The 27,162-nt window shown below is 47.6% G+C and overlaps 2 protein-coding genes across 15 annotated transcripts, besides 7 other annotated features; one reads left to right on the forward strand and one right to left on the reverse strand.

The window, feature by feature from the left end:
- Window positions 1-1,506: 1,506 nt before the first annotated feature.
- On the reverse strand, window positions 1,507-26,729 carry ZNF250 (zinc finger protein 250). 14 transcript variants are annotated; one of them, NM_001363102.2, is made up of 7 exons: window positions 25,951-26,005; window positions 19,695-19,784; window positions 14,860-14,955; window positions 14,485-14,611; window positions 14,133-14,246; window positions 11,392-11,454; window positions 1,507-7,388 (listed from the first exon to the last, which is right to left on the reverse strand). In NM_001363102.2, the coding sequence occupies exons 3-7, from the start codon at window positions 14,899-14,901 to the stop codon at window positions 6,067-6,069; spliced, it is 1,668 nt and encodes a 555-aa protein (NP_001350031.1). In that variant the 5' UTR covers window positions 14,902-14,955; window positions 19,695-19,784; window positions 25,951-26,005; the 3' UTR covers window positions 1,507-6,066. The 14 variants fall into 14 exon arrangements, with proteins under 14 accessions (NP_001350031.1, XP_047278020.1, NP_001350029.1 ...); XM_047422064.1 differs by having other exon boundaries at window positions 14,485-14,626; NM_001363100.2 differs by lacking the exons at window positions 19,695-19,784; window positions 25,951-26,005 and adding an exon at window positions 26,301-26,729.
- Window positions 3,589-3,738: an enhancer, noted in NCBI's record as "active region_28108". NCBI's record gives its function as "activates an Ori minimal core promoter by ATAC-STARR-seq in GM12878 lymphoblastoid cells {active_cell/tissue: GM12878}" and the evidence as "EXISTENCE:reporter gene assay evidence [ECO:0000049][PMID:35858748]".
- Window positions 3,939-4,128: an enhancer, noted in NCBI's record as "active region_28109". NCBI's record gives its function as "activates an Ori minimal core promoter by ATAC-STARR-seq in GM12878 lymphoblastoid cells {active_cell/tissue: GM12878}" and the evidence as "EXISTENCE:reporter gene assay evidence [ECO:0000049][PMID:35858748]".
- Window positions 25,351-25,955: an enhancer, noted in NCBI's record as "H3K27ac hESC enhancer chr8:146126184-146126788 (GRCh37/hg19 assembly coordinates)". NCBI's record gives its function as "activates a minimal SCP1, AML or CMV promoter by ChIP-STARR-seq in naive H9 embryonic stem cells {active_cell/tissue: H9 hESC(naive)}" and the evidence as "EXISTENCE:reporter gene assay evidence [ECO:0000049][PMID:30033119]".
- Window positions 25,689-25,798: a silencer, noted in NCBI's record as "silent region_19715". NCBI's record gives its function as "represses an Ori minimal core promoter by ATAC-STARR-seq in GM12878 lymphoblastoid cells {active_cell/tissue: GM12878}" and the evidence as "EXISTENCE:reporter gene assay evidence [ECO:0000049][PMID:35858748]".
- Window positions 25,956-26,558: an enhancer, noted in NCBI's record as "H3K27ac hESC enhancer chr8:146126789-146127391 (GRCh37/hg19 assembly coordinates)". NCBI's record gives its function as "activates a minimal SCP1, AML or CMV promoter by ChIP-STARR-seq in naive and primed H9 embryonic stem cells {active_cell/tissue: H9 hESC(naive and primed)}" and the evidence as "EXISTENCE:reporter gene assay evidence [ECO:0000049][PMID:30033119]".
- Window positions 26,176-26,833, forward strand: LOC124902042 (uncharacterized). Its single transcript, XM_047422534.1, has one exon. The coding sequence runs from the start codon at window positions 26,234-26,236 to the stop codon at window positions 26,831-26,833; it is 600 nt and encodes a 199-aa protein (XP_047278490.1). The 5' UTR covers window positions 26,176-26,233.
- Window positions 26,559-27,162: an enhancer, noted in NCBI's record as "H3K27ac-H3K4me1 hESC enhancer chr8:146127392-146127995 (GRCh37/hg19 assembly coordinates)". NCBI's record gives its function as "activates a minimal SCP1, AML or CMV promoter by ChIP-STARR-seq in primed H9 embryonic stem cells {active_cell/tissue: H9 hESC(primed)}" and the evidence as "EXISTENCE:reporter gene assay evidence [ECO:0000049][PMID:30033119]".
- Window positions 26,859-26,938: a silencer, noted in NCBI's record as "silent region_19716". NCBI's record gives its function as "represses an Ori minimal core promoter by ATAC-STARR-seq in GM12878 lymphoblastoid cells {active_cell/tissue: GM12878}" and the evidence as "EXISTENCE:reporter gene assay evidence [ECO:0000049][PMID:35858748]".

The raw sequence follows: 27,162 nt of genomic DNA on the forward strand, positions 1-27,162 counted from the left end.
ACAAGCACCGTTCCCTGCTCCACAGCGCCCAGTCCCATTGACCACCCAAGGGCTGAGGAGTGCGGGCGCACAGCACAGGACTGGCAGGCAGCTCCACCTGTGGCCCTGGTGTGGGATCCACTGGGTGAAGCCAGCTGGGCTCCTAAGTCTAGTGGGGACTTGGAGAACCTTTATGTCTAGCTAAGGGATTGTAAACACACCAATCAGCACTCTGTGTCTAGCTCAGGGTTTGTGAATGCACCATTCGTCACTCTGTATCTAGTTAATCTGGTGGGGACTTGGAGAATCTTTATGTCTAGCTAAGGGATTGTAAATACACCAATCAGCACTCTGTATCTAGCTCAAGGTTTGTAAACACACCTGTCAGCACCCTGTGTCTAGCTCAGGGTTTGTGAATGCGCCAATCGGCACTCTGTATCTAGTTACTCTGTTGGGGACTTGGAGAACCTTTATGTCTAGCTAAAGGATTGTAAATACACAAATCAGCACTCTGTATCTAGCTCAAGGTTTGTAAATGCACCAATCAGCACTCTGTATCTAGCTAATCCAGTGGGGACATGGAGAACTTTTGTGTCTAGCTCAGGGATTGTAAATGCACCAATCAGCACCCTGTCAAAATGGACCAATCAGCTCTCTGTAAAACAGACCAATTGGCTCTCTGTAAAATGGACCAATCAAGCAGGATGTGGGTGGGGCCAGATAAGAGAATAAAAGCAGGCTGCCCGAGCCAGCAGTGGCAACCCGCTCGGGTCACCTTCCACACTGTGGAAGCTTTGTTCTTTTGCTCTTTGCAATAAATCTAGCTACTGCTCACTCTTTGGGTCCACACTGCTTTTACGAGCTGTAACACTCACCGCGAAGGTCTGCAGCTTCACTCCTGAAGCCATCGAGACCATGAACCCACCGGGAGGAATGAACAACTCCAGACGCACCACCTTAAGAGCTGTAACACTGACCGCGAAGGTCTGCAGCTTCACTCCTGAGCCAGTGAGACCACGAACCCACCAGAAGGAAGAAACTCTGAACACGTCCGAACATCAGAACGAACAAACTCCAGACACACTGCCTTTAAGAACTGTAACACTCACCACGAGGGTCCGCAGCTTCATTCTTGACGTCAGTGAGACCAAGAACCCACCAATTCCGGACACAAAGGGATGAGTCATACCACTGTCTCCTCACACCGGACATGGGATAGCCACAGCAGAAGCCACTTTATGGCCCAGAGAAATTCCAGGGAAAAAGGATTGTATTAATTGATAACATCATCAGCAATGCATGAAAGCACACATCTCCTCATACCTGGTCATTACAGGATAATCTTTACTAACTGATTAGTGGGTAGCATGTTGTTATTTGTTTTGGGATTGGTACACTTGAGCCTTTTCCAAGCTTCCATGGTTGTATATTCTCTTATTTGGAGTGGTCTGTTCATGTCCTATGGTCACTGATTTGTAGGAGATCTTTATGCCAAAGTTACTGATCTTTCTTCACTGCAAATACTTGTTCCAGTCATTACTTTTTTATTGGAAAGCGTCAGATTATACACAGAAATTCCAGGCAGACTAAAATGTTTTCCAAAATAATAGAAAATTTGAAGAGAACCAAGTTTCAAATTCTTAATAGCTGTTAGAAGAAACAATTTTAAAAGAAATATATACGTATTTTTTGTGACAAGGTCTCTCTCTGTTGTCCAGGCTAGATAGTATGATCACAGCACACTAGTCTTGAACTCCCAATCAATCCTCCCACCTTAGCCTCCCACGTATCTGGGACTACAGGCGCAAGCCACAACACCCAGCTAATTTTTTTTTTGTAGAGACGGGTTTTCGCCATGCTGGTCTCAAAGTCCTGGGCTCAAGCGATCCACCCACTTCAGCCTCCCAAAGTGCTGGGATTACAGGTGTGAGCCATTGCACCCAGCCAAAGAGAAGTATTTAAATACCTAAAATATACAGACTTCTGAATAAAACAAATCCAAAATAAAGGTGGAATGCTGCTGACAAATCAGGCAGAAGATAATGGTTGAGAAGACTGTTATCAGCATGAAAATTCAGGGCCCTGGCCTTTGATGTTATATCCCAAAAAGGTAGATAGCCCACATGTTCCAGTAGGTCATGTGCCACCTCTTTCTCCTTGGAGAGGAGGAGGTGAGTGGCAAGAAAATGTAGCCTGGGAATCCTCCTCAGAAAGAAGGGCATTGAAGCCCACTTCCTGGCTCCGTGGACACCTGAGCCTGCATTCTCACCAGTGGATCAATGGCAGCCTGACATAGCAAGAACAGGCAGAATGATATTAAGCTCATTTTAAGAATGCAGGAAAAAAACTATACTTTTTGGAAGGATTTCCCTGAAAACCCTAGGTTATTGGAATCCAGAATAACTTGTACTGTGTAACTTACGTTGTCCTGTGATACACAGTCTTTCTAAACAAATGTTCCTGTATATTGAATTTAATTATTCTCATCTTAATTGGAATATGACTTTGTCTTTAATGATTAGAAATTGGGGCCTGAATAGTAGTGGGCACTGAGCAGCTGCCACTGAGTCACATGCCAGCTGTGGACTCAGCTAACACAGGTTGGCAGCTTCCTTTCATAGAAGATTTAAGATAGCACCACAGTGTTCTCATTTTCTCTCAATTAATATTGAGGTGACCTCAGGTTTCTGGACTTTCATCTCAGTGATCTCATCTAGGTACCTGGGTGATCTCTTGGCTCTGAAGTAACACCTCAGTAATCTCAGTTCCTCTTTGGACTGTTACCTCAGTGATCTCAGCTCCATTCTGAAGTAACTTCTCAGTGATCATAGCTTTTCCCTAAAGTAACCTCTTTCTAAAGCATCACCCCTAGTGATCTCAACCTTTCTCTGAAGAATCACCTTAGTGATTTCAGCCACCTCTGAAGTTAACACCTGTGTGATCTCAACTCCAGTGAACAACTCAGTTATTTCATCTCCTTTCTAAAGTTAACAGCTTAGTGATCTCATTTCCTTTCTGAAGAATCACATCAGCAGTCTCAGCCTCTCTTAAGTAACATCTCTGTGATCTCAGCTTCTAACACCTGAGGGACACCATCTTGGTCCTGAATAATACCTCAGTAACCTCAGCTCCTCCCTTAAGTAACATCTCATTGGTATCAGCTTTTCTCTGAAGCAGAACCTCAGTGATCTCAGCTCCTAAGTAACATCTCAGCATTCTCATCTTTCCGATGGTACAATATAGTGATTTCACTTCCTTTATGAAATAGCACTCAGTGACCTCCATTCTTCTAGAGTTTCACATTAGTGATTTCAACTTCTCTGAAGAAACACCTCTGTGATCTCAGCTTCTCTGAAGAATTACCTCAATGATCTAATCTCTAAAGTAATACCTTAGTGATCCCATTTCCGTTATTTCAGCTCCTCTGAAGTAAACCTCAGTGGTCAGAGCTACTCTGCAGTACCCACTAGTGATGTCAATTCCTTTCAGAAGTAACACCCAGTGATCTCACCTCCTCTCTGATGAAACACCTCAGTGTACTCAGATCCTCTGAAGTAACAAAAATTGTCTCACTTTCTTTCTGAAGTGACGCCTCAGTGATCTCAGCTCTTCTCCAAAGAAACAGTTAAGCTCTTGTCTTCTCTGAACTAACACCTTAGTTATTTTATCTATCTGAAACAACACCTCACAGAATGGCAACACCTCTAAGGTTAACACCTTGGTTATCTGAGCTATCTGAGGTTTCACTTCAGTGATCTCAGTCCCTCTGAAGTAACACCTCAGTAATATTAGTTCCTCTGGAATTTCACTTCAGTGGTTTCAGTTGCTCTGAAGTAAAACACCAGTGATGTCAGCTCCTTTCTCAAGTTAACCAATCAGTTACCAGTTCCTCTCTGGAGTTAATAATTCACTGTTGTCAGTGTCTGTACATAGAAGGGGGAACAAGCTTTTGTCTACATCGTGGTGTTTTGCTGTGGACTTAAGGATCAATGCCTGGATGGGCACAGCAGCTCATGCCTGTAATCCTAACCTTTTGGGAAGGTGAGGTGGGAGGACTGCTTCAGCCCAGGAGTTTGAGGCAGCGGTGAGCCATGATGGCACCACTGCACTCCAACCTGGTGACAGAGCAAGACCGTCTTTAAAACAAACAAAAAGGATCAATATCCTGGTGACTATTTCCTCCCCACCAAACTGACAGATGTTGGGGGCGGGGGCCTGGGGTGAAGACAGCCCTTCTCTATCTCAGGCACTTAACATGTTGAGAATTTCAAGTGGCTTGAACCTCATACATTTGTTTCGTTTGCAGCTGGCTGCTACTAGAAATGGTTCTGATTCGGTTTCAAGAACTGTATCCTTGGCCGGGTGCGGTGGCACACGCCTGTAATCCCAGCACTTTGGGAGGCCGAGGCGGGCGGATCACCTGAGGTCAGGAGTTTGAGACCAGCCTGGCCAACATGGTGAAACCTCATCTCTACTAAAAATACGAAAATTAGTCGGGCGTGGTAGCAGGTGCCTGTAATTCCAGCTACTTGGGAGGCAGAGGCAGGAGAATTGCTTGAACCTGGGAGGTGGAGATTGCAGTGAGCTGAGATTGTGCCATTGCACTTCAGCCTGGGGAACAAGAGCAAGACTTTGTCTCAAAAAAAAAAAAAAAAGTATGCTTAAAACAGAACAAATAATTCTGAATACAAATTTTTAATTATGAATAAACTAGATTCATCTTCATCATAGTAATATGGCAATGGATACTGGACTCTTGAACCAGGAGTAAAAAAATGAAAAAAAAAACCCCTTCAAATATAGGAATAGAAATACTAGAGATAGTAAAAAAGAGCTATCTGAATTTGAGAAATGTATGTTTTAAATATATCTACCAAAGAACAGTATTTTCAGCATTGTTTTGGGGGAAATACCATAAGATGTAAAGAGGTACCCACTTGGTGTAACAGCTATGAGGTCTGCTGAGTGTGAAGCTCCCCTCCTTTGCCTGCATGGGAATTGAGACATCTCACGGTTTCTGGGGCACAGGATCTGCAGGTCATAAGGGCAAGTTTTGAGGAAAATACCCATTTTTGAGTTGAATTTTTACTAAAAAGTTAGCATAACCTTTCTGATCTTGAATAAAGTTAAAAGCTCCAGATAAAGGGTTTTCTAGGCCAGGCATGGTGCCTCACGCCTGTAATCCCAACACTTTCGGAAGCAAAGGTGGGAGGATCACTTGAGGCCAGGAGTTCGAGACCAGCCTGGCCAACACGGTGAAACTCCGTCTCTACTAAAAATACAAAAATTAGCCAGGTGTGGTGGCGCATATCTATAATCCTAGTTACTTGGGAGACTGAGGCACAAGAAAAGCTTGAACCTGGGGTGGGGGCGGAGACTGCAGTGAGCCAAGATCATGCCACTGCACTGCAGCTTGGGCAACAGAGCAAGACTATCTCCACACACACATACAAAAAGTTTTTTAAATTTATGTAATTTCTCACTAATATATAAGCTTTTTCCTTGTTTCATACAAAACAGGACTCCACACACTTAGGATGGAAATCCACACACTTAGGATTTCCAACCATTTTACATGATGCTTGATGAAAATATCTTTTTATATCACTTTATCCATACAATACTTTAGTCTTTTAAGAGAATACTGAAAATAGTCCGACTTTCAAATTTTAAGTGCAATAATTAGTATGGTTAATTGATATTTAGGAAGGGCATGTAATGTTCTTAGAAAAAGAACTTTATTTGGAATGTAAGATTTTATTGGGATAATGGTTCTTATGCCTTAAATTCCCTTAGTTCAAATAAACTAATGTTAAAGAATTATGGCTGTTTTTTACCAAAATTCTCTACAATTGTATGATTACTCTCCAACATAACTTCAAGATGTTGAGGAAAATAAAACAGGTAGTCTCTGAAGTTTTTCCACAGGAACAGCACGCTAAGTGCTTCTTTCTGGAGTTATTTTGTGACACTGAATCGCCAAAGAAAAGCTTCCTATAGAGTTAACAGAGACTTCTCTTGGGCTGAAGGCTGCTTGTGGTTCCACATGCAGTTTCTGTGAGAATGGATTCTTGTGTCAGCCATGGGTCACAACTTTCTGTGCACTTTCTGGTGCTGGATTAGGTGGCCATGCTGGTTGAAGGCACGCCCACACTCCCCGCACTCATAGGGCTTCTCGCCTGTGTGGATCCGCTGGTGCTGGATGAGCACTGAGTACTGGCTGAAGGCCTTCCCGCAGCTATTGCACTCATATGGCTTCTCGCCCGTGTGGGTCCTCAGGTGCACAATCAGAGTTGCTTTCAGGCTGAAGGCTTTGCCACATTCTGTGCACTGGAAGGGCTTTTCACCTGTGTGGATTCTCTCATGCTGGATCAGAGACCGGCGTGCACTGAAGGCGTGCCCACATTCACCACACACATAGGGCTTCTCCCCAGTGTGGACTCTCTGGTGCTGGATCAGGTGTGAGTGCTGAACGAAGGCCTTCCCACATTCGTAGCATGCATAGGGCTTTTCCTCGGTGTGGATCCGCTCGTGATTCATCAGTGTGGAGCGGTGGCTGAAGGTCTTCCCACACTCACTGCACTCATAGGGCTTCTCCCCGGTGTGCACGTTGTGGTGCTGAATGAGGACTGAGCGGTCGCTGAAGGCCTTCCCACACTCGCTGCACGTGTAGGGCTTCTCCCCGGTGTGGATCCTCTGGTGCTGCAGCAGTGTCCTCTTCACACTGAAGGTTTTCCCACACTCATTGCACCTGTGAGGCTTCTCCCCAGTGTGTACCCTCTGGTGGCTCCGCAGAACAGTGCTATGGTTGAAGGCTTTCCCACACAACGGACACACATATGGCCTTTCTCCCGTGTGGATCCGCTGGTGCTGAATGAGATGTGAGAGTTGAGTGAAGGCTTTCCGACACTCAAGACATTCGTGAGGCTTCTCTCCTGTATGTATCTTGTGATGCTGAGCAAGATCTGAGCTCACTCTAAAGGCTTTTCCACACTCATTACACTCATAGGGCTTCTCACCTGTGTGAATTCTCCTGTGTTTACTAAGGACTGAGCTCTGGCTGAAGGCCTTCCCACATACACTGCACACATAGGGCTTCTCTCCAGTGTGGATACGCTGATGCTGAAGGAGGTGGGAACTCCGGCCAAAGCACTTCCCACACTCAACACACATGTAGGGCCTCTCTCCACTAGGCACTGCCTGGTGCGGAGTGAGTGGCATGCTTTGGCTTAAGACCTGAACTTCACGGTGGTCAACAGAGTTTGGACTCAGACAGAAGCTTTGCTTTGTTTCATTATTTTCTTGATCAATCCTCCCCAAGGGTGTTTTCCCCAGAATCACTGTTTGCTCTGAAATTAATGGCTTCGGACTCAAGTCTGTATTTTGACTCTCTCCCTTGGTTTCACATTCTGAAAGAACAAATCCAAAATGAAAATGTTAACACTACTCAAAACTGAAGAGCTAGTGCAACCCTGAAACTGGCCTTGCTGATGAAGGTGCAAAATCCCTCAATGCACACGTTGGTGTGAGCTACAGAAGAACAGAACCACCATAACTGTGTCAAACAACTAGATATCAGAAGATAATGTTTCCAGACAGGAAGGTGCCAAGGCAAGCTTTAAGAGAAAGGTGTAAACTCCAGTTTGAGGTCACACCCCTGTGTGGAGTCCACAGAACAGCAGGGAAACAGCCCAGTGGTGCCTGAGTCCTGCCCTCCCAGGGGTCCTCATGTGGACAGAGCTGAAATACAGGCCCACATAATGTGGGTGCCTTGTGGGGCAGACAGCAGCACTTGGGCAGGCAGGGAGAGGTGTGAGCTATTGTGAGCAAGTCGGGGTGTGCCATCTGGAGGCCAACAGACTTGTACATGAGGTAGGGGTGGTGGTGCTGCCACCTCTTTGTGGAAAATAATTTCTTTTTTTTTTTTTTTGAGAAGGAGCCTTGCTCTGTTATCCAGGCTGGAGTGCAGTGGCACAATCTCGGTTCACTGCAACCCCCACCTCCTGGGGTCAAGCGATTCTCGTGTCTCAGCCTCCTGAGTAACTGGGATTACAGACGCACACCATCATGCCTGGCTAATTTTTGTATTTTTAGTAGAGATGGGGTTTTATCGTGTCGGCCAGACTGGTCTTGAACTCTTGACTTCAAGTGATTCACCCACCTCGGCCTCCCAAAGTGCTGGGATTACAGGCGTGAACCATCGGACCTGGCCATGTGGAAGATAATTTCATGTGGAGAATGCAGTGGCAGGAGGAGGGGAGGGAAGGACAAGACTGAAGGTGCAGAGGGGCATGATGGGAATCTGCTGCCAAGTTTAGGCCACAGATGAGGCCTTCAGGAGCAGAAGCATAGATGGCGGGAAAGGCAGGGGTGGAGACTCTTCTGGGAGCAGGTCGAGCGCTCTGCAGGCTGATTGTGTGTGAGTGGGTGGGAGGTAAGAGGTGCTGAGGACAACAGTGATTTTTTTTTTAGATGGAGTCTCTGTCACCCAAGCTGGAGTACAGTGGCTACTATCATAGCCCACTGCAGCCTCAAGCTGCTTGGGGCTCATATGATCCTCCCGCCTTTGCCTCCCAAAGTGCTGGGAGTACAGGCATGAGCCATTGTGCCTGGCTCTAAACATTATTATATTTTATTTTACTTAGTTATGCGTGTTTCTGAGCTTTCTATAGTTTCATGGAGCACAGTCTTCTGGAACTCGTTTTCCCGTCAGCATTATGTTTTTGAGATCCATCATGTTGTTGTACAGCAGTTAATCATTTTCACTGCAGTATATTCCATTAAGTTAAAATACCATAGTTTATTTATGTCTATTCTGTTTATGAACATAATTCTTTTTTTAGAGACGGAGTCTTACCCTGTCGCCCAGGCTGGAGTGCAATGGGACGAGCTCGGCTCACTGCAACCTCTGCCTCCCGGGTTGAAGTGATTCTCCTGCCTCAGCCTCCCCAGTGGCTGGGATTACAGGCACATGCCACCATGGCTGGCTAATTTTTTTGTATCTTCAGTAGAGACAGGGTTTCACCATGTTGGCCAGGATGGCCTCAAACTCCTGACTTCGTGATCTACCCACCTCGGCCTCCCAAAGTGCTGGGATTACAGGCAGGAGCCACGGCGCCCGGTCCTGAATTCTTTTCAAATGTTTTTTTAAATCATGAAGCATGCTTCTGTGAAGATTCTCCTATGTTTCCTGGTGCTTACACACAAATGTCCTTGCTGTATACATATGCAAGAGTGGGAAGTGGTGAACATAGGAATTCATGTTTTCGATTTTTTTTTTCATTTTTTTTACCTCCATTCTCTCAGAATGTGATCATGTTTTCAATTTCATTGGATAATGCCAAACTTTTCCAAAGTGGCTATGTGAATTTACATCCCTATTAGCTGCCCTGCATCCTCACCCACATGTTATATTGTCAGATCTTTCCATTTTTTCCATTCTGAAGGTGTAACATCATGTCACAGTGGTTTTGATTTCCACTTTACTGATGAATAATGAGGCTGAGCAGTTTTCTTATTTATTGGCCCTTTGGTTTTCCTAATCTATGCAGAAATTTGTGCCTACTTTTCTTTTTGGGTAATTCTGCGTCTTTTTATTCTATTCAGAGGAATTTATTAAGTGTATTGACAAATTGAAACAGTGAGAATTTAACAGTTTTTTTAATAAAAAAATTTAAATTCACTGTCTTCAGTTTAATACAATTTTTTTGAGACAGAGTTTCGTTCTTGTTGCCCAGGCTGGAGTGCAATGGCACGATCTCAGCTCACCGCAACCTCTGCCTCCCAGGTTCAAGCGATTCTCCTGCCTCAGCCTCCCAAGTAGCTGGGATTACAGGCATGTGCCACCATGCCCAGATAATTTTTTGTATTTTTAGTAGAGATGGGGTTTCACCATGTTGGCCAGCTTGGTTTCAAACTCCTGACCTCAGGTGGTCCATCTGCCTCGGCCTCCCAAAGTGCTGAGATTACAGGCATGAGCCACCACCCCCGGCCCAGTTTAATACAATTTTTAACATATCTCATTTTAGAAAGTCACTCTATGTGGGTTTTTTTTTGAGACAGGGTCTCACTCTATCACCCAGGCTGGAGTGCAGTGGTGTGATCATGGCTTACTGCAACCTCAACCTCCTGGGCTCAAGGAATCCTCCTGTCTCAGCCTCCATGTGGCTGGGATTACAGGAATGCACCATCATGTCTGGCTAATTTTTAATTTTATTTTGTAGTGTGGGGTCTCAGTATCTTGCCTAAGCTGGCTATGTGTTTTTTAAACTGATAGAAGTTTTAGTTCTTTCTTTTTTTAATGTATAAGCCTCATCTTCATGGAATAAAAGCCTATAGGCTAAAGAAATAGTTACTCATTTACACTGAAAAGTATTACTTCTATTGTCTGAAGTTTCACCCGGTGTGGTGGCTCATGTCTGTAATCCCAGCACTTCGGGAGGGCAAGGTGGGAGGATCACTTGAGGCCAGGAGTTTGAGACCAGCTTGCGCAACATGGTGAAACCCCGTCTCTACAAAAATTAGCTGGGCATGGTGGTGTACACCTGTGGTTATAGCTACTCTCGGGAAGCTGTTGTGGGAGGATTGCTTGAGTCCAGGAGGTTGAGACTGGTGAGCCGTGATTATGCCACTGCACTCCAGCCTGGGCAACAGAGTGAGAGCCTGTCTAAAAAAAAAAAAAAAAAGTTTCCTGAATGGGCGGCTTCTGACCTGATGCCAGGGTAACAAGATAGACAAGATGTCTTTAATAATAAAAACACAGGCCAGGCACAGTGGCTCATGCCGGTAATCCCAGCATGTTGGGAGGCTGAGGCAGGAGGATTGCTTGAGCCCAGGAGTTTGAGACCAGCTTGGGCAACACAGCAAGACTCTGTCTCTACACTGCACTCCAGCCTGAAAAAAAGAAAACACACACACACACTAAACTAACTGCATAAGAGACTACTCGCTCAATCATCCATGGCACGAAAGCATCATATGACTGCTTGTGAGACAGAATCAAGTTGCTGTGAAGGCCAAACTTGCCTGCACCTTGCATCCATACTGTGCAGAAGCTGGACTTCAGCCAAGAGTCACTTGCTTTTAGAATAATGGTTTTGGTTGTTAAGTATAAAGTAGGGAAGTATGTTTTAAGCATGACGGAACAAATAAAAGGAAACAAAATGATTTCACCGAAATAAATGTTTAATTATAAAAACCCAGTAATCTCTCTAGGCCTACTATGGCTCACAAGAAAAGGAAAAATGTTTTAAAAATTAAAAACACAAAAAGCCCCTCCCTGGTGTTTTGTAGCAATTGTGTGAGTTGTTTAACACGCTTCATAGCACCGAGTCGCCTCTACATTCTTGTAAAACATTAGTGTTAACACCTTCAGAGATTGTACTGAATTAAAAAGATCAGGCATACACTTACCCCATGGACAAGATAAACTGTCTTGTTGTGTACAGGCTGTAGTGTGGTCATATTTGAGGTTGTCTGGAAAAAAAACAGCGAGTTGAAGTGACAACAAAATACTCCCTTCAAGAGTGGAAAATCCTGGCCGGGCATGGTGGCTCACGTCTGTAATCCCAGCACTTTGGGAGGCCAAGGTGAGTGGATCACTTGAGGTCAGAAGTTTGAGACCAGCCTGGCCAACATATAGTGAAACCCCGTCTCTACTAAAAAATACAAAAATTAGCTGGACATGGTGGTGCATGCCTGTAGTCCCCACTACTAGGGAAGCTGAGGCAGGAGAATCGCTTGAACCCCGGAGACAAGAAGTTGCAGTGAGCCGAGATCACACTACTGCACTCCAGCCTGGGGGACAGAGTGAAACTCCGTCTCTCAAAAAAAAAAAAAAAAAAAAAAAAAAAAGAGTGGAAAATCCTTTCGTTGCTATTACAACATGTAATTTACTGAGTTACAAACAGCAGGGTCAGGGCTGGGCAGGTGCACACACTTATCCATCCTGAGGAACTGCCAGGACAAGACAAAGGCATATCTACTCCTCGCTTGCTCTGATGCTAGTGGCAGTGATCCAGGTTGTGGCAGGTGGCTTCTGTTTCTATGCACATCAGTAATCTAAAACTCAGTCCCATCGTCCTCTGTGGCCTGTGTTAGAGGTGAGGGGACCAGGTGCTTCCATGAAAAAACTTCTCATCTCCAACCAGCCATGCTCCCAGAGAATTTCACAGTCTCTGTGGTGTCAAATCAAAGGGCGCTCAAAGGCAGTTTAAGCTCTCCATCAGGCGAGTACATAGCTGGACACAAGGGAGCCCAGGACTGGTTTGGCAGTGGCAGCAAAATGCCCTCCTGTGTTTTCTTGTCTCCTACAGCTGCAGTCAGTAAGCAGAAGTTCTATGCAAGATTTCCAAGACATGATGATGTGTCTTCTTGTATAGTCACTGGAAAATTAAATTCCTCTAAGGCTGGCATGTACCTTGTTCCTCTGAGGATATCTGATTTTGCAGGCCAGTAAGAGGTAGACTGTAATACCTGGTGCCCTATCCACATAAAGCTACTTTAGAAATAAGGAGGAGCTTTCAAGGGGAAAACCACCACATCTGAAATGCTGAAGCTGATCAGCCAATGGAGGTGTTGCCCAAACTGTCCCTACTCTCCCCAAGTGGGGCACATTATGGCAGGACAGGCTGACTGAGGTTTTCCTAAGACTCAGACGTCACCTTACTGAAGTCAGAGGTTCTTTGCCTTAAGCAACCGCAAACATGAACTTCAGGGTTGGATCTATGCACCATCTTTCTTTTTATAATTTTCTCCATCTAAAGGTCTTGTACATCTTTTGTTAGATTAATTCTTGGATGCTTTATATTCCTGATGCTATTATAAATGTTATCTTTTAAAATATTACACCTTTGCTGGTTGCTGACAAATATAAATAAAACATTTCTGGCCAGGTGCAGTGGCTCATGCCTGTAATACCAGCACTTTGGGAGGCTGAGGCAGGTGGATCACTTCAGGTCAGGAGTTCGAGACTAGCCTGGCCAACATGGTGAAATCCTGTCTCTACTAAAAATACAAAAATTAGCTGGGTATAGGGGCATGGACCTGTAATCCCAGCTATTCGAGAAGCTGAGGCGTAAGAATTGCTTGAACCCAGACGGCGGAGCTTGCAGTGACCCGAGACTCATGCCACTGCATTCCAGCCTGGGCGACAGAGCAAGACTGTCTCAAAAAAAAAAAAAAAAAAAAAAAAATTGTATCCAGCAAAACTGGTAATTTCCCTTGTGAATTTTAATCAATCATTTTCCAGGTTGACAATCACATAAACTGCAAACAATGCTTTTTTCTTTCTAATTCTTATAGCTTTGGTTTTGCCTTATTTTTATTTTTATTTTTTTGAGACAGAGTCTCATGCTCTGTCCCCCAGGCTGGAGTGCAGTGGAGCGATCTCAGCTCACTGCAACCTCTGCCTCCCGGGTTCACGCCATGAATCTGGGAGTAGCTGGGACTACAGGCCTCAGCCTCCCGAGTAGCTGGGACTACAGGTGCATGCCACCATGCCCGGCTAATTTTTTGTATTTTTAGTAGAGACAGGGTTTCACCGTGTTAGCCAGGATGGTCTTGATCTCCTGACCTCGTGATCCACCCGCCTCAGTCTCCCAAAGTGCTGGTATTACAGGCTTGAGCCACCACGCCTGGCCGGTTTTGCCTTATTTTGTACATGGGATACCCAGTACAACATTATATGGACATGGGGATGGCGGGCTTCTTTGTCTTGTTCTGAGATGAAACAGTGTGCTTTCAGCACTTCACCTTAAGTGTCAGGTTGAGACACTTCCTTTCCACATTTAGGATGCTTTGTTATTTTCTAAATCATCAGGTAACTCTCAAAACCTGAATGTCCTATTAGGACCAAATCTGGCTAACCAGTCCCTCTGGTCAGGGACAGAATCACTGCAGCCATGCCCTAACTTCCTCTACATGGCTCTGCACATCAGCTTGTTGAAATTCACTGCTATGCTCACTTCCAGCCATGGGCTGCCACCTGATTCAGCAACCCCCAGTCTATAGACTCCTTTGCCAGATAAGGCCAGATAAGGTTTTACTCCAGGTGGAAGCCACTCCAGTGAGCGGCACAGTATGAACTAGGTCCACAGCTTTGCTCAGGACCTGTTTAGCCCTCAGTGAGGGAGGGGCCAGCTCTCCTCACTCACCTGAGTAGTCACTCCACAGGCCCTGGCTCTTCTTAGCCCCCTTCCTGTCCAGGACCCAGGGATCTTCCCCTCGCTCCAGCTGGGAGATTATGTCAGGCTTGGATCCTGGAAGTCCTGCTCGTGGGGAGGGAAGTCTTTGTTTACACAACATTTACAGAGCCCCCTCCCCCTGCCCAAGCCACTTGTGGGGACATGAAAATGGACAGGACTGATCTTCTGCTGGAGCTGAGCACCCAGAGAGGTGATGAGAGCAAACCTCCAGGACCAGCCTGTCCCAGGCCCCGTACCCTGAGAAGCCCCCACCCCAGTCCAATACGCAGATACATAGACGAGGCCTGCTAAGGTGGCTTACCCAATGAGACTACATTCCCATAGGTTTCCATCATCACATTTCTGTAGAGACCCCTCTGAGCAGGGCACAGGCGGTCCCATTCATCCTGGGAGAGGAGCACAGCCACATCCTCGAAGGTCAGCTTGGCCTGGAACGACAGGGGCTGCTGCAGGTAAAACCAAATCCTGATGTCTGTGATGGGGAGTGGGTGCATGTGACATGTGACATGAGCAGTTGGCAGTGGGGGGCTCTGTGAGCTGAGGTGGGTGATGGGAAGGGGCCGCGGAGTTCAGGGCATGTGGTGACGCTCTGGCTGCTCTTAGGAGCTCTACGGGGCACGGAAGGAACCACAGGGCTCGGGCTGGGGGCACTGCATAAGCACTGGGGACAGCTTACCTGGGGTCCTGCCGGCACTGGCAGGAGTCTGGCTGCTGCCATCACCTGGTCTCCTGGGGACTCCGAGGATCACGGAAATTGAAGGAGCCTATGGGGCTGAGGAAGAGGAGGGGGCAAGTGAGGGGCATGGCCTTGAGACCGTAACTTCCTAGGGGGCCCTCAGGGGATCCCTGGGCCTCATTCAGAGTCACTGAGGGGCACACTGAGGTCAGGTGCAAGGAGCTGCTACTGTTGCAGCCTTGGTCTGCCTTGCCTCCCCCATGAACTCTGACCCTATGGTTCAGGAGCCTGTCCAGGCCCTGAACACACAGTTCCTGGGCCTGCCCAGCTAGTACTGGGCTCTCTGAACACCAGGTGCAAGGCACTTGCTGCACCCTGGTCCCGGCCCATGGTCCTGCCATACACAAGGATACCAGCTCACCAAGGCTCTGTGTGTTCTATACCTGAGGCCCTCACACAAGTACCAGACTGTCCGCAAGTCATGTGGGGGATACAGGCATCAGGCCAAGCTGCTTCCCCAAACACCCTCCCAATTAAGAAAGCCTTGGCCACCAGGGTGACAATAAGACTCCCCTCACCCCACCCTTAGGCAGCCCTAGTGCCCCAATGTGGCACCAGGTTCAACCAGGTATTTGAAGGGGAGGCATGGAAGTGGTCAGTTCTGGACAAACTGAGTCAACAGTGGCCTAGGGATCTGGTCTGAGCAGCTGAAGGAAGACTTGTCATCAAGTGAGAAGGGGATGCTTGGGGTAGTGGGGCTGGTGCTGGAACGTAACAGGACAAGGTAAGCAAAGGTATCTGACACACACCCAAACAGCTGGGAAAAAGGGGGAGCGGGGCAAGAGCTTTCCTGACACATTTGGTCCTGTACAGGATAGGGTTCGCAGTCTTCTGGAGCATCAAAAAGAAGATACTGTGACAGGGATACAGAAACCAACCAGGTGACCAAAGGTGGTAGATCACTCCAGAAAAACGTGGTATAACAAAGCAACCAATCCCCTCACATGCTTGGCTCAGATGGGCACCACAACAAACAGGGTGCTTTAAGAGTGACAAAATAGGTGTCAGGGCTGGGGGCAGAAGTCAAGGGACATCATAATCTCAGTGTCTATAAAACATCAGATATAGGTGGGCGCGGTGGCTCATACCTGTAATCTCAGCACTTTGGGAGGGTGAGGCAGGCACATCACCGGAGGTCAGGAGTTTGAGACCAGCCTGGCCAACATGGTGAAACCCCGTCTCTACTAAAAATACAAAAATCAGGCCGGGTGCAGTGGCTTATGCCTGTAATCCCAGCACTTTGGGAGGCCGAGGCAGGCGGATCACCCGAGGTTGGGAGTTCGAGACCAGCCATGACCAACATGGGGAAACCCCGTCTCTACTAAAAACACAAAATTAGCCGGGTGTGGTGGTGCACGCCTGTAGTCCCAGCTACTCAGGAGGCTGAGGCAAGAGAATTGCTTGAACTCAGGAGGTGGAGGATGCGATGAGCCGAGATCATGCCATTGCACTCCAGCCTGGGCAACCAAGAGCAAAACTCCATCTCAAAACAAAAACAAAAACAAAAATCAGCTGGGTGTGGTGGCGGGTGCCTGTAATCCCAACTACTCAGGAGGCTAAGGCAGGAGAATCACTTGAACCCAGGATGTGGAGGTTGCAGTGAGCTGAGATCATCTCAGCTGAGACTCTGTCTCAAAACAAAACAAAAAAAACACACATCAGATACATGTATATATTTGCACAGACAACTTTCAGGAAGATACACAATAAACTAACTGCCTGCCTCTGAAGAACAGGACAGGGAAACACAGTTGGAGAGAGACTGACTTTCAACCCTCCCCCGTGCTGCTGTTCTCCAAAAATGCCCATTCCCTCCAAATGTGTGTGTGAGCACACTTCTGTGTTAGCGCAATGCAACTCTAATTAGAATTCCAACAGAAGTCTTTTAAAGGAATGACTACAACTACTTGAGAATTCATAAGAAGAATGGATGCTAGAGAATAGCCAAGAATTTAACTGGAAAGAACAGAGGGTGGGGACTGCCTTGCCAGGAATCAGAGCCAAGGGTGGGTAGGAAGCCGCTGCAATTAAACCAACAAGTTGTTGACAGAGGAACAGATGAAGCCAGACAGGTATGTGGGAAATTGGAAGATAACAAAAATGTTACATTTTAGTTCAGCAGGAAATCAGTGGTTCCTTTAGTAACTTGTGTGTACCCAGATGGGATACATCAATAACCAATTTTTTTGTTTGTTTTTTTTTTTGAGACAGAGTTTCACTCTTGTTGCCCAGGCTGGAATGCAACGGCGAGATCTCGGCTCACCGCAACCTCCACCTCCTGGGTTCAAGTGATTCTCCTGTCTCAGCCTCCCAAGTAGCTGGGATTACAGGCATGCGCCACCATGCCCAGCTAATTTTTTTTGTATTTTTAGTAGGGACAGGGTTTCTCCATGTTGGTCAGGCTGGTCTTGAACTCCCGACCTCAGGTGATCCGCCCGCCTTGGCCTCCCAAAGTGCTGGGATTACAGGCGTGAGCCACCGTGTCCAGCCACCAATTTTTTTTTTTTTTTGAGACGAAGTCTTGCTCTGTCACCCAGGCTGGGATGCAATGGGGTGATCTTGGCTCACCGCAACCCCTGCCTCCCAGGTTCAAGCAATTCTCCTGCCTCAGCCTCCCGAGTAGCTGGGATTACAAGCACCCACCAGCACGCTCGGCTAATTTTTTAAATATTTTTAGTAGAGATGGGTTTTCACCATCTTGGTCAGGCTGGTCTCGAACTCCCGACCTCAGGTGATCCACCCGCCTTGGCCTCCCAAAGTGCTGGGATTACAGGCATGAGCCACCACGCCCAGCCCAACAATAACCAATTTTGGATTAAGATGAAGACCAAGTGTGAGCATTAACAGTGGCCTCATGTGCTCCTGGTCCCCCTGTCTGACATCTGCCTACCCTCAAGGGCAGAAGTGCCTTCTCTCCTGCCACACCCTGACCCTTTCCATGGGTCACCCACCAGCGCACAGATCTGCCATTTCTTTATTTTGAAACAGAATCTCGCTCTGTCACCCAGGCTGGAGTGCAGTGGCATGATCTAGGCTCACTGCAACCTCCGTCTCCCAGGCTCAAGCGATCCTCCTACCTTAGCCTCCTGAGTAGCTGGGACTACAGACACCTGCCTCCATGCCCGGCTAATTTTTGTACTTTTTGTAGGTACGGGGTTTCACCATGTTGCCCAGGCTGGTCTCGAACCCCTGAGCTCAAGTGATATGCCCCTCTTGGCCTCCTAGAGTGCTGGAATTACAGGCTTGAGTCACTGCGCCTAGCCCTGCATGCGAATTTGACCTTGGGTGAATGCACAGCTCTGGTCCCCTGGAAACCTGGCAGAGGTGGATGGTCATTCTCTCTACGGACCAATCACACCTGGGCTGTGACTCAATGATGAACAACCACAGGAAGTACATTCAGGGCCTCCCTAGCAGGTCTTGCAGCCAGTTCTCTTGACACAGGAGGTGCTGGCTTGTATGACCACGAGGCTTTCGACTAGGCTAACTCCTCCTCCTACCTGCATCTTGTGTTTATGCACCTCAGTACTCCCTGGATGGCTGCTGGATGATGCTGGCCAGCTTTTCCGAGAAGCTGCTGCTAGGCATGGTTGTCCTGTGAGTCTGAAAAGTCAGTTGAGCCCAGTAGCTCTTTTGGTACACTTGAGCTCGTGATCCCCCTTCCCTCTGACTCAACCTTTCAATATGGGTGTCTCATAGCATCTCAGACATTTAACATCCCAAACCAAGCACCCCCTCTACCATCATTTCTACCCCCAGCTTGGTCTGTGAGCCTGTGCATCAGCCTCCTTCCTTCTTCACTCCCACACTTCTATTCACCTTCCAAGCACATCCAGAACCTGACCATGTTGCCCATCTCGCCCTCCCTGCCCCATGACAACCACCCCTAGATGTTCGGCAGCTCCCATCTGGGCAGACAGACTCCCAGCACCGTCTGTCTGCCCAGCCCCTCCATCTACCTTCCTGTGAGAACACAGTGACTGTCCTCTGCTCCAAGGTCCTCCCAGGACCCCACTGGCTCCTATGGGCATGCCCCAAACTTTGTGATTTTCCTCAGAGCCCTGCAGCCCTTTATCCCTTGGCCTGTGCTCCCCATCCAACTCTTAGAGACCTCTGCCCCACCCACCGCAGCAGCCCTGGCCTCACCCAGCTCTCATCCTATCCCTTTCTCCTGCACCAGCAGACCAAGAAGCAGGCCCAACAGAGTAATCAGTGGTCGACCTTTTTTTTTTTTTTTTAATTACTTCTAGGCTAATGATTACAAATTGCCAGGCAATGTACTTTTTTAAACTTTTAATTAATTTCTTAGAGACGGGGTCTCACTTTGTAGTCCAGGCTGGAGTACAGTGGCTCAATCACAGCTCAATGCAGCCTCCAACTCCTGGGCTCAGGTGATCCTCCCACTTCAGCATCCCAAGTAGCTAGGAATACAGGTTGCACCACCATGCCTGGATAATTTCTTAATTTTTTTTTTTTGGTAGAGACGAGGTCTTGCTGTGTTGCCCAGACTGGTCTTGAACTCCTAGGCTCAAGGGATCCTCCCTCCTTGGCCTCCGAAAGTGTCAAGATTACAGGCCTGAGAACACCACACCCGGCCTGTTTGTTGAATAAATGAATGAAGAGGAATGAGCTCACACTTTATGCCATCTGTAATAGCCAAGTACGGAGTCAACACTTTAAACTGGCAGGCATGGGAAAGTGGAGTTTCTCATACTCTTAAGAAGGCGACCTAGCAGTATTTAGGCAAATCAGACTGGCCCTTGGATAGTGGGTACCTGATAAGAATGGATGTGGGTGAGGGTGCAGATTCAAGGATGTTGCTGAGGCAAATGCTACGTTGGTCCTTCCACATACAAGTTACACACCTGCTAAAGAGAAAGATGTATGTTGTGTCAGGTCACCAGATGGGTGAGTGAAAATGCAGCATGGGGCCAGCATGCAGGGGAAAATCTCATTTTGTAAACTATGACCCCGAGCCCATGAAGGGTATGTGTGTCACAAGGACCTGGGACTGGTTCACCTGCCTCACTTGGGCCAGCTGCATTGAGGCCCCACCTATAAATCCAGATGACACACTCCTCTGAAGGCCTGGAGATCATGTGGTTGGTGAGAGGAGAGCGCTAAGAACAGGCTTGGCTCAGAGGAGGATGCTGCTGGATAAGGTGTTATTATCTATTTGATTAACACACAGAGGAAATACTCCAAAGGACAATACCAGGCTGTCAACAAGTGTGTGGCAAGGAGAAGTGAAAGGGAAAGACTGCCACCTGGGGTGAGTCTTAGAAAAGCATCACACAAAATGCAGTATCAGGTCTCTATTGAAAGATGACCATCACATATTGCTAATTAAAAAAAAAATCGGCCAGGCGCAGTGGCTCATACCTGTAATCCCAGCACTTTGGGAGGCCGAGGCGGGCGGATCAAAAGGTCAGGAGTTCGAGACCAGCCTGGCCAACATAGTGAAACCCCGTCTCTACTAAAAATACAAAAAGTTAGTCAGGCATGGTGGCAGGCACCTGTAATCCCAGCTACTCAGGAGGCTGAGGCAAGAAAATAGCTTGAACCTGGGAGACAGAGGTTGCAGTGAGCCAAGATTGTGCCACTGCACTCCAGCCTGCATAACAGAGCAAGACTCTGTCTCAAAAAAAAAAAAAAAAAAAAAATCCTATCACAAAGTCTGATTGTATTCTGGTAATAAATGAACAAAAATGGCTGGGCATGGTGACTCACACCTATAATCCCAGTACTTTGGGAGGCCAAGGTGGGAGAATTGCTTGAGTTCAGGAGTTCAAGAACACCCTGGACAATATAGTGAGACCCCGTCTCTATAAAAAAATTTAAAAAATTAGCTGGTTTGTAGACCTAGGTACTCTGGAGGCTGAGATGGGAAGATTGCTTGAGCCCAGGAGGTCAAGGCTGCAGTAAGCTGTAACTGCACCACTACACTCCACCCTGGGCAACAGAATGAATCCCTGTCTCAAAATAAATAAATAAATAAATAAAAATTAAAAAAAAATATGAACAAAATACATTTTAAAAGTGGTATTAACTAGTTTAAATTTTTTCCTTACTTACACTATGGCAGATAAAGGTTTCAGTTTCCTGGAACGAGCCTGTAACAGGATACCAGGCCAGGCAAACACCATGGACCTCAACCTAAACCTTGCATACTCAAGACAGGAAAATGTAAGAGCTATCGGGGGTGCCAGAAACTGGCTTTTAACAACACACTCCATCCACACTTCACGGGATTCTGACGTCCAACTCCAAGCTTTGCTCCATGAGAACACAGTTCAGGCAGGGAAGGAGGATGATGTGGACAGTTTTAAAAAATTAAGACAGGCTAATGACGAGTCCTCTATAGATGCCAGGCTCCAGGGCCAGGGGCTGGGACAGGCTGGAGATCACCGCCACAGAATACTGGAAGTGGAGTTTGAGGAGCCCCCTCTTGAGGCCATGCCAACAGCTAACAAATGGGCAATATAAAGAACACCCACTCAGGGCACTGGCTGAGCAATGATCCCTCCCACCCACTGGTTACAAAGGTGGCAGCATAAGGAGCTAATTTTTCAAACTCAGGAATTTCAATCTTGAAAATTTCCCTAAGGAATAATCCAAAACAAAAACAATAGATCAACGTTATTAGCAGCAACTGGCTTTCCAGTTTTCTTTAGGTGATCAAAAGCCACATCGCAGTGAGACATTCCTATCACTCTTTTTGGAATTCCTGACTGTCTTGATGTGACAAAGCAGTGTGCCTGTCATTCCAGAGGACCCTGCACATGGTCACACACTGGGACAGGCACATTTGGAGTCTCCTGATCTGGGATGAGCTTCCAGGATCTCCTCCAGGGCCACTGCCTTCTCCTGCTCCTCATCATCCTCACTCCCTGGACTTTCTGCTAACAAGCACTGCTCCCTCTTCATCACCAAGGAGCCCCTACCCGCTAGGGTGAAAGCACTTTCAAGAGAGGCAGCTTCTGAGCCACTTGTGAGCACAAGGCGAAACACTGCTAAACTTGACCTAATCTAAACTAACCCTAACTAACCTAAACTAACCCTAACCTGCAACCTTTCCAGAATTAATGATCAGAAATATGTATCCAAATTGATAGCTTTCTGGTCGGGCACAGTGGCTCATGCCTGTAATCCCAGCACTTTGGGAGGCCAAGGTGGGTGGATCACCTGAGGTCAGGTGCTGAGACCAGCTCGGTCGGGGAGACCCTAACCCAGCGGCGCTAGAGGAATTAAAGACACACACACAGAAATATAGAGGTGTGAAGTGGGAAATCAGGGGTCTCACAGCCTTCAGAGCTGAGAGCCCTGAACAGAGATTTACCCACGTATTTATTAACAGCAAGCCAGTCATTAGCATTGTTTCTATAGATATTAATTTAACTAAAAGTATCCCTTATGGGAAACGAAGGGATGGGCCGAATTAAAGGAATAGGTTGGGCTAGTTAACTGTAGCAGGAGCATGTCCTTAAGGCACAGATCGCTCATGCTATTGTTTGTGGCTTAAGAATGCCTTTAAGGGGTTTTCCACCCTGGGCCGGCCAGGTGTTCCTTGCCCTCATTCCGGTAAACCCACAACCACAACCTTCCAGCGTGGGCATTATGGCCATCATGAACATTTCACGGTGCTACAGAGATTTTGTTTATGGCCGGTTTTGGGGCCAGTTTATAGCCAGATTTTGGGGGGGCCTGATCCCAACAGTCAGGAGTTCAAGACCAGCCTGGGTGACATGGTGAAACCCCGTCTCTTCTAAAAATACAAAAATTAGCTGGGTGTGGTGGCACGTGCCTGTAATTCCAGCTCCTCCCAAGGCTGAGGCATGAGAATTGCTTGAACCTGGGAGGTGGAGTTTGCAGTGAGCCAAGATCGCGCCATTGCACTCCAGCCTGGGCAACAGAGTGAGACTCCATCTCAAAAGAAAAAAAGCAAATAAACAAACAAACAAAACAAAACAAAACAAAACAAAACAAAAAAACAACCAAACTGATAGCTTTCTTATATACCAGTAACACCTAATCAGAAAATATGAATGGAAAAAAATCTATTCAACAAATAGCAACAAGAAACAAGATTAAACCTTAGAAATGCAGAGTCCCTATAAAGAAAACTGTAAAACATCAAGGAAACACTTGAGGACACTCATGTGGGAAAACATTTTTTGGGTAAGACCTCAAAAGCACAGGAACAAAAGCAAACTAGACAAATGGAATTACATCAACTAAAAAGCTTCTGTACAGGAAAGGAAACAATCAGCAGAGTGAAGAAACAACATACAGAATGGAAGAAAATATTTACAAGCTATCCATCCGATAAGGGATTAATAACCAGAATGCAGAAGGGAGTCAAACAATTCAATAGAAAGAGACAACTAATCCGATTTAAAAACAGGTAAATGATCTGAGTAATTTATCAAAAAAAGACAATATGTATGGCCAACAAGCATATGAAAAAAACTAAAAATAGATCCACCATATGACCCAGCAATTCCACTGCTTGTTATATACCCAAAAGAAAGGAAGTCAGTATATCAAAAAGATATCTGAACATACATGTTGACTGCAGCACTATTCACAATAGCTAAGATATGGAATCAACCGAAATGTACATCAAATAAATGGATACAGAAAATGTGGTATATGTACACAATGGAATATGATTCAACTATAAAAATAAGGAAATTATGTCATTTGCAGCAACAGGGATGGAACTGGAGGTCATTATGTTAATTGAAATAAGCCAGGTACAGAAAGACAAATATTGCATGTTTTCACTCGTATGTGTGAGTTAAAAAAGTTGGTCCCATGGAGGTAGAGGGTAGAATGATGATTACCAGAGGATGGGAAGGGTGGGGTTGGGGGGAGGTATGAGATGAATAGAAGTGGGTTAATGACTACAAACATACAGTCAGATATAATGAATAAGTTCCAGTGTTTGATACCACGGTAAGATGACTACAGTTAATAATTTATTGTATATTTCAAAACAACCAGAAGAAGAGATGTGAAATGTTTCCAACACAAAAAATGATGTTTGAGGTGACAGACATCCTAATTACCCTGATTTGATCATTATACATTGTATGCTATCCTTGTATCAAAATATCACATGTATCCCATAAATGTGTATAATTATTATATTCAATAAAAAAGAACTTTAATAAAAATACAGGTATATTTTTATTATTTCATGTGGGAAGGGCTGTTCTAAGCAAAATACCAAAAGCAAAAAGCAGAGCTCCACAGATCTGCAGCTTATAAATCAAAATCATATGCACATCAAAGCTACCAAACTCCAAAAATGGACCTAAAGGCATGCAACAATTTAGTATATGACAAAAGCGGTTTTTCAAATCAATGGGAAGATCAATGGTGTTAGAAATGGCTATGATTTAGAGGAAAAAAGGAATTCCAAAAGCTGTATTCCAAACTCACCCCACAATAAAATAAATTCCAGACGTATCCAACATTTTACAAGTACCACAGAAAAACAAGAGTTTATTTTAAAAATAATCTTGGAGTGGGGAAAGCCCTTTAAAACACAGCACAAAGCCCAAAATGCCTTAAGGCAAAATATTTGACTCCTAAAAATTTTAAATTTTCTATTTTGAAAAAGCCCAAACCAGAATCAAACACCATAATCAGAGTCAAAAGACAAATTGAGAAGCATGTTTTCAACATACATGGAAAAAAATATGAGCTGGCAAATCACAAAGAAATACAAATGGCGAAAACACAAATGAAGGGATTTCAATCTCACCAATAAACGCAAAACGTCGACCTGGCAGGAATGCAGTGACCTGTCAAAGCCCACAGGACCAGAGTCCCGTCCAGGGCGGGAATGTCAATGGCAATCTCCCACCCTTACCCACTTCGTAGAGACCACCGGACAGAGAAACCTATGTCCAGAAGACAAGTTACGAACTGAAAAATCTGCGAGTACCCACCCGGCGGAGGACGAGTGGAGCGCCCCCTGCCGCCCCTGGTGTTAGTCAAACGACACCAGCTTCCCTTTGATGACAGAAAAAAGGGTGTGCGTGCGTGCCTAAAGCTCTAACGGCATTCAAAAATTCTGAAACTGTTCACAGCTCCTGCCTCTTCATACACTGGCAGAGTGTCGGGGGGGATGACTTTTATATATTTCTGACATGCCTGCATTAGAAGAAGTATTGCATATTATTTTCAATTTTAAAATTAAGCCAATAAACAACAAGGAAAATATTTGCTGTGTTGCAAAGAGTTGGGCTCATTCATTAAAATAGGGCTCTAACACAGTAACAGAAAAGACAGCATCGACAGCAAAATGGGGAGAGGATAAGACACCCGGCAAGTAGCACACTCGACCAACTGCTGAAACGAAAGCAGCTCGTTTTCGTCTTGACGCGGGAAGACTTTTTATAGCTAAGTAAAGTGGCGCTCCCGGTGCGCCGCCGGGGTCTTCATGGGGCTCCTCAGGATGTGCATCAAACAGAAAAAACCTCCATTTTTATATTTTGGGGAAGCTCCCCACCCCTTTCCGGGCCCATCCCAGGGGACGCGAGACCCCGAGGAGCGCGGCAAGAAGAGCGGCCCGGGGGTCCGGACTGCGCCCCTAGGACTCCGGCCATCCTGGCCCTAGGCACGGCGCCCGGTAGAAAGCGCGCGGGAGGGCACGAGGGGGAGGAAGGCCGGAGATCTGAGGAGATCCAAGGTGGGAGGGACGCCGGTCTGACGGGGCCCAAGGGGGTAGGGGCGGGGAAGGGACCGAGGCCGTCCGAGGCGGACGGGGGTGCGGGAGGGCCTGAGGGGGTCCAAGGCCGGGCGAGGGGAAGGGTGGGAACCCCGAACGGGGGAGAGGGCGCGGCCTTGGCCCTGGGGAGGAGGCCGCCGCGCGTCCGTGAGGGGAGGGGACCAGCGTAAACGCAGGAGGCAGTGCGTGCTCGCGGGGAAGAGTCCACGATTCGTGTGGAGGACGCACCGGCTCCGGTGTCCGTGATGGGAGAGGGTCCTGGCCGGCGACGACACGCGCCCCCCACTCACCGTCAGAGCCGCAGCCTCACGCGCGAAGGAACGGCATCCCGCAGCACCTTCAGACAAAGGGCTGCCCCGCCCCGTCTGCGCAGCCGCCAATCCCTGGGGGCTCCTGCCCCTCAGTTCCCGCCCCCACAGCCGAGTTCGCCAATCCTGGAGGGCAAGCATGTTTACGTCATTTGGCCCGCCTGCCCGCCCGAAGCCTTTCTCGGTGACCGACTGCAGGGAGCTCTCAGGAGCCACCGAGAGCCAGACCTCCGCGATCCCTAGAGGGGCCGAACACCTCTGGGCAATGGGCCCGGCCGGCTCCCCGGCCGCACTTCCGGGCGCGGAGGTTACAGCCCATCGCCGAGCCTTACCCGCTCGCAGTCCCGGTTCCCGAGCTCCTGCCGCCGTCGCCCTGTGGAGGACACCCCTGCCGGCCCCGCAGTCCCTCCTCGACTTGCGCTGGCTTCGGCCGTCCTGGAACTCGAGCTCGTTCCCCCCTCCGAGCCTTTTGCCCTTGCGGTTCCCGCTGCTGGGAACGACCTTGCCCTCAGCCGCCTGGCTGGTCCCTGCGCCGCTGCAGTGCGAATGTCGCCTTCTCAGGGGCCCTTTCTCTTCCTTCGTTGCAACACTGAAGTCCTCTTGTTTGATGACTTGCGTGAGGTTATTCCTCCCACTTAGGAGGCTGAGTGCTGCGAGGTCCGAGGCGCAGCCGCTCTTCGCTGTGTCCGGCCCGGCGTGCTCCCGACAGGGGGCGTCACTGAACAGCGACCGTCTCCGTCGCCCACTCGGCCCTGGTGTTTGCTTTTTGGTGTGTTTACACCGCGCACCTGGGGGAGAGGGGCGGGCCTTCACGAGGGCGCGGGCCACACCCGTGTGGAGGCTTCGGGCACAGCCCAGGACCTGACAGCCGCGGCAGGGAGGGTGGGGCTGGTTTGGAGCGGTGTCAGGGGACGGGAAGGCTGACGCCTAGTCCACCTTCTGCTGGCCCCACTCCCGAAGGTCAGGTCCGCGTCGTCCATTGGGCGCGTGGGCGGGCCCAGACTCTCAAGAGGCTTCCCCACAGGGCGGGGCTGGGGGCTGCGTGGGGGCGGCGGGGAAGGCTTAAGGTTAGGGGGTAGGCTTGAAGCGAGTGCCCGGCCCGTGCTGTTGGGAGCGGAGGCCGGGAGGATGTGGCGATAATTCCGTACTTGCCGCGCACCAGGCAGACGCGAAGTCTGTGCTACGCTTCAGCGA

Source organism: Homo sapiens, chromosome 8 (assembly GCF_000001405.40).
Source record: "Homo sapiens chromosome 8, GRCh38.p14 Primary Assembly".
NCBI lineage: Eukaryota > Metazoa > Chordata > Mammalia > Primates > Hominidae > Homo > Homo sapiens.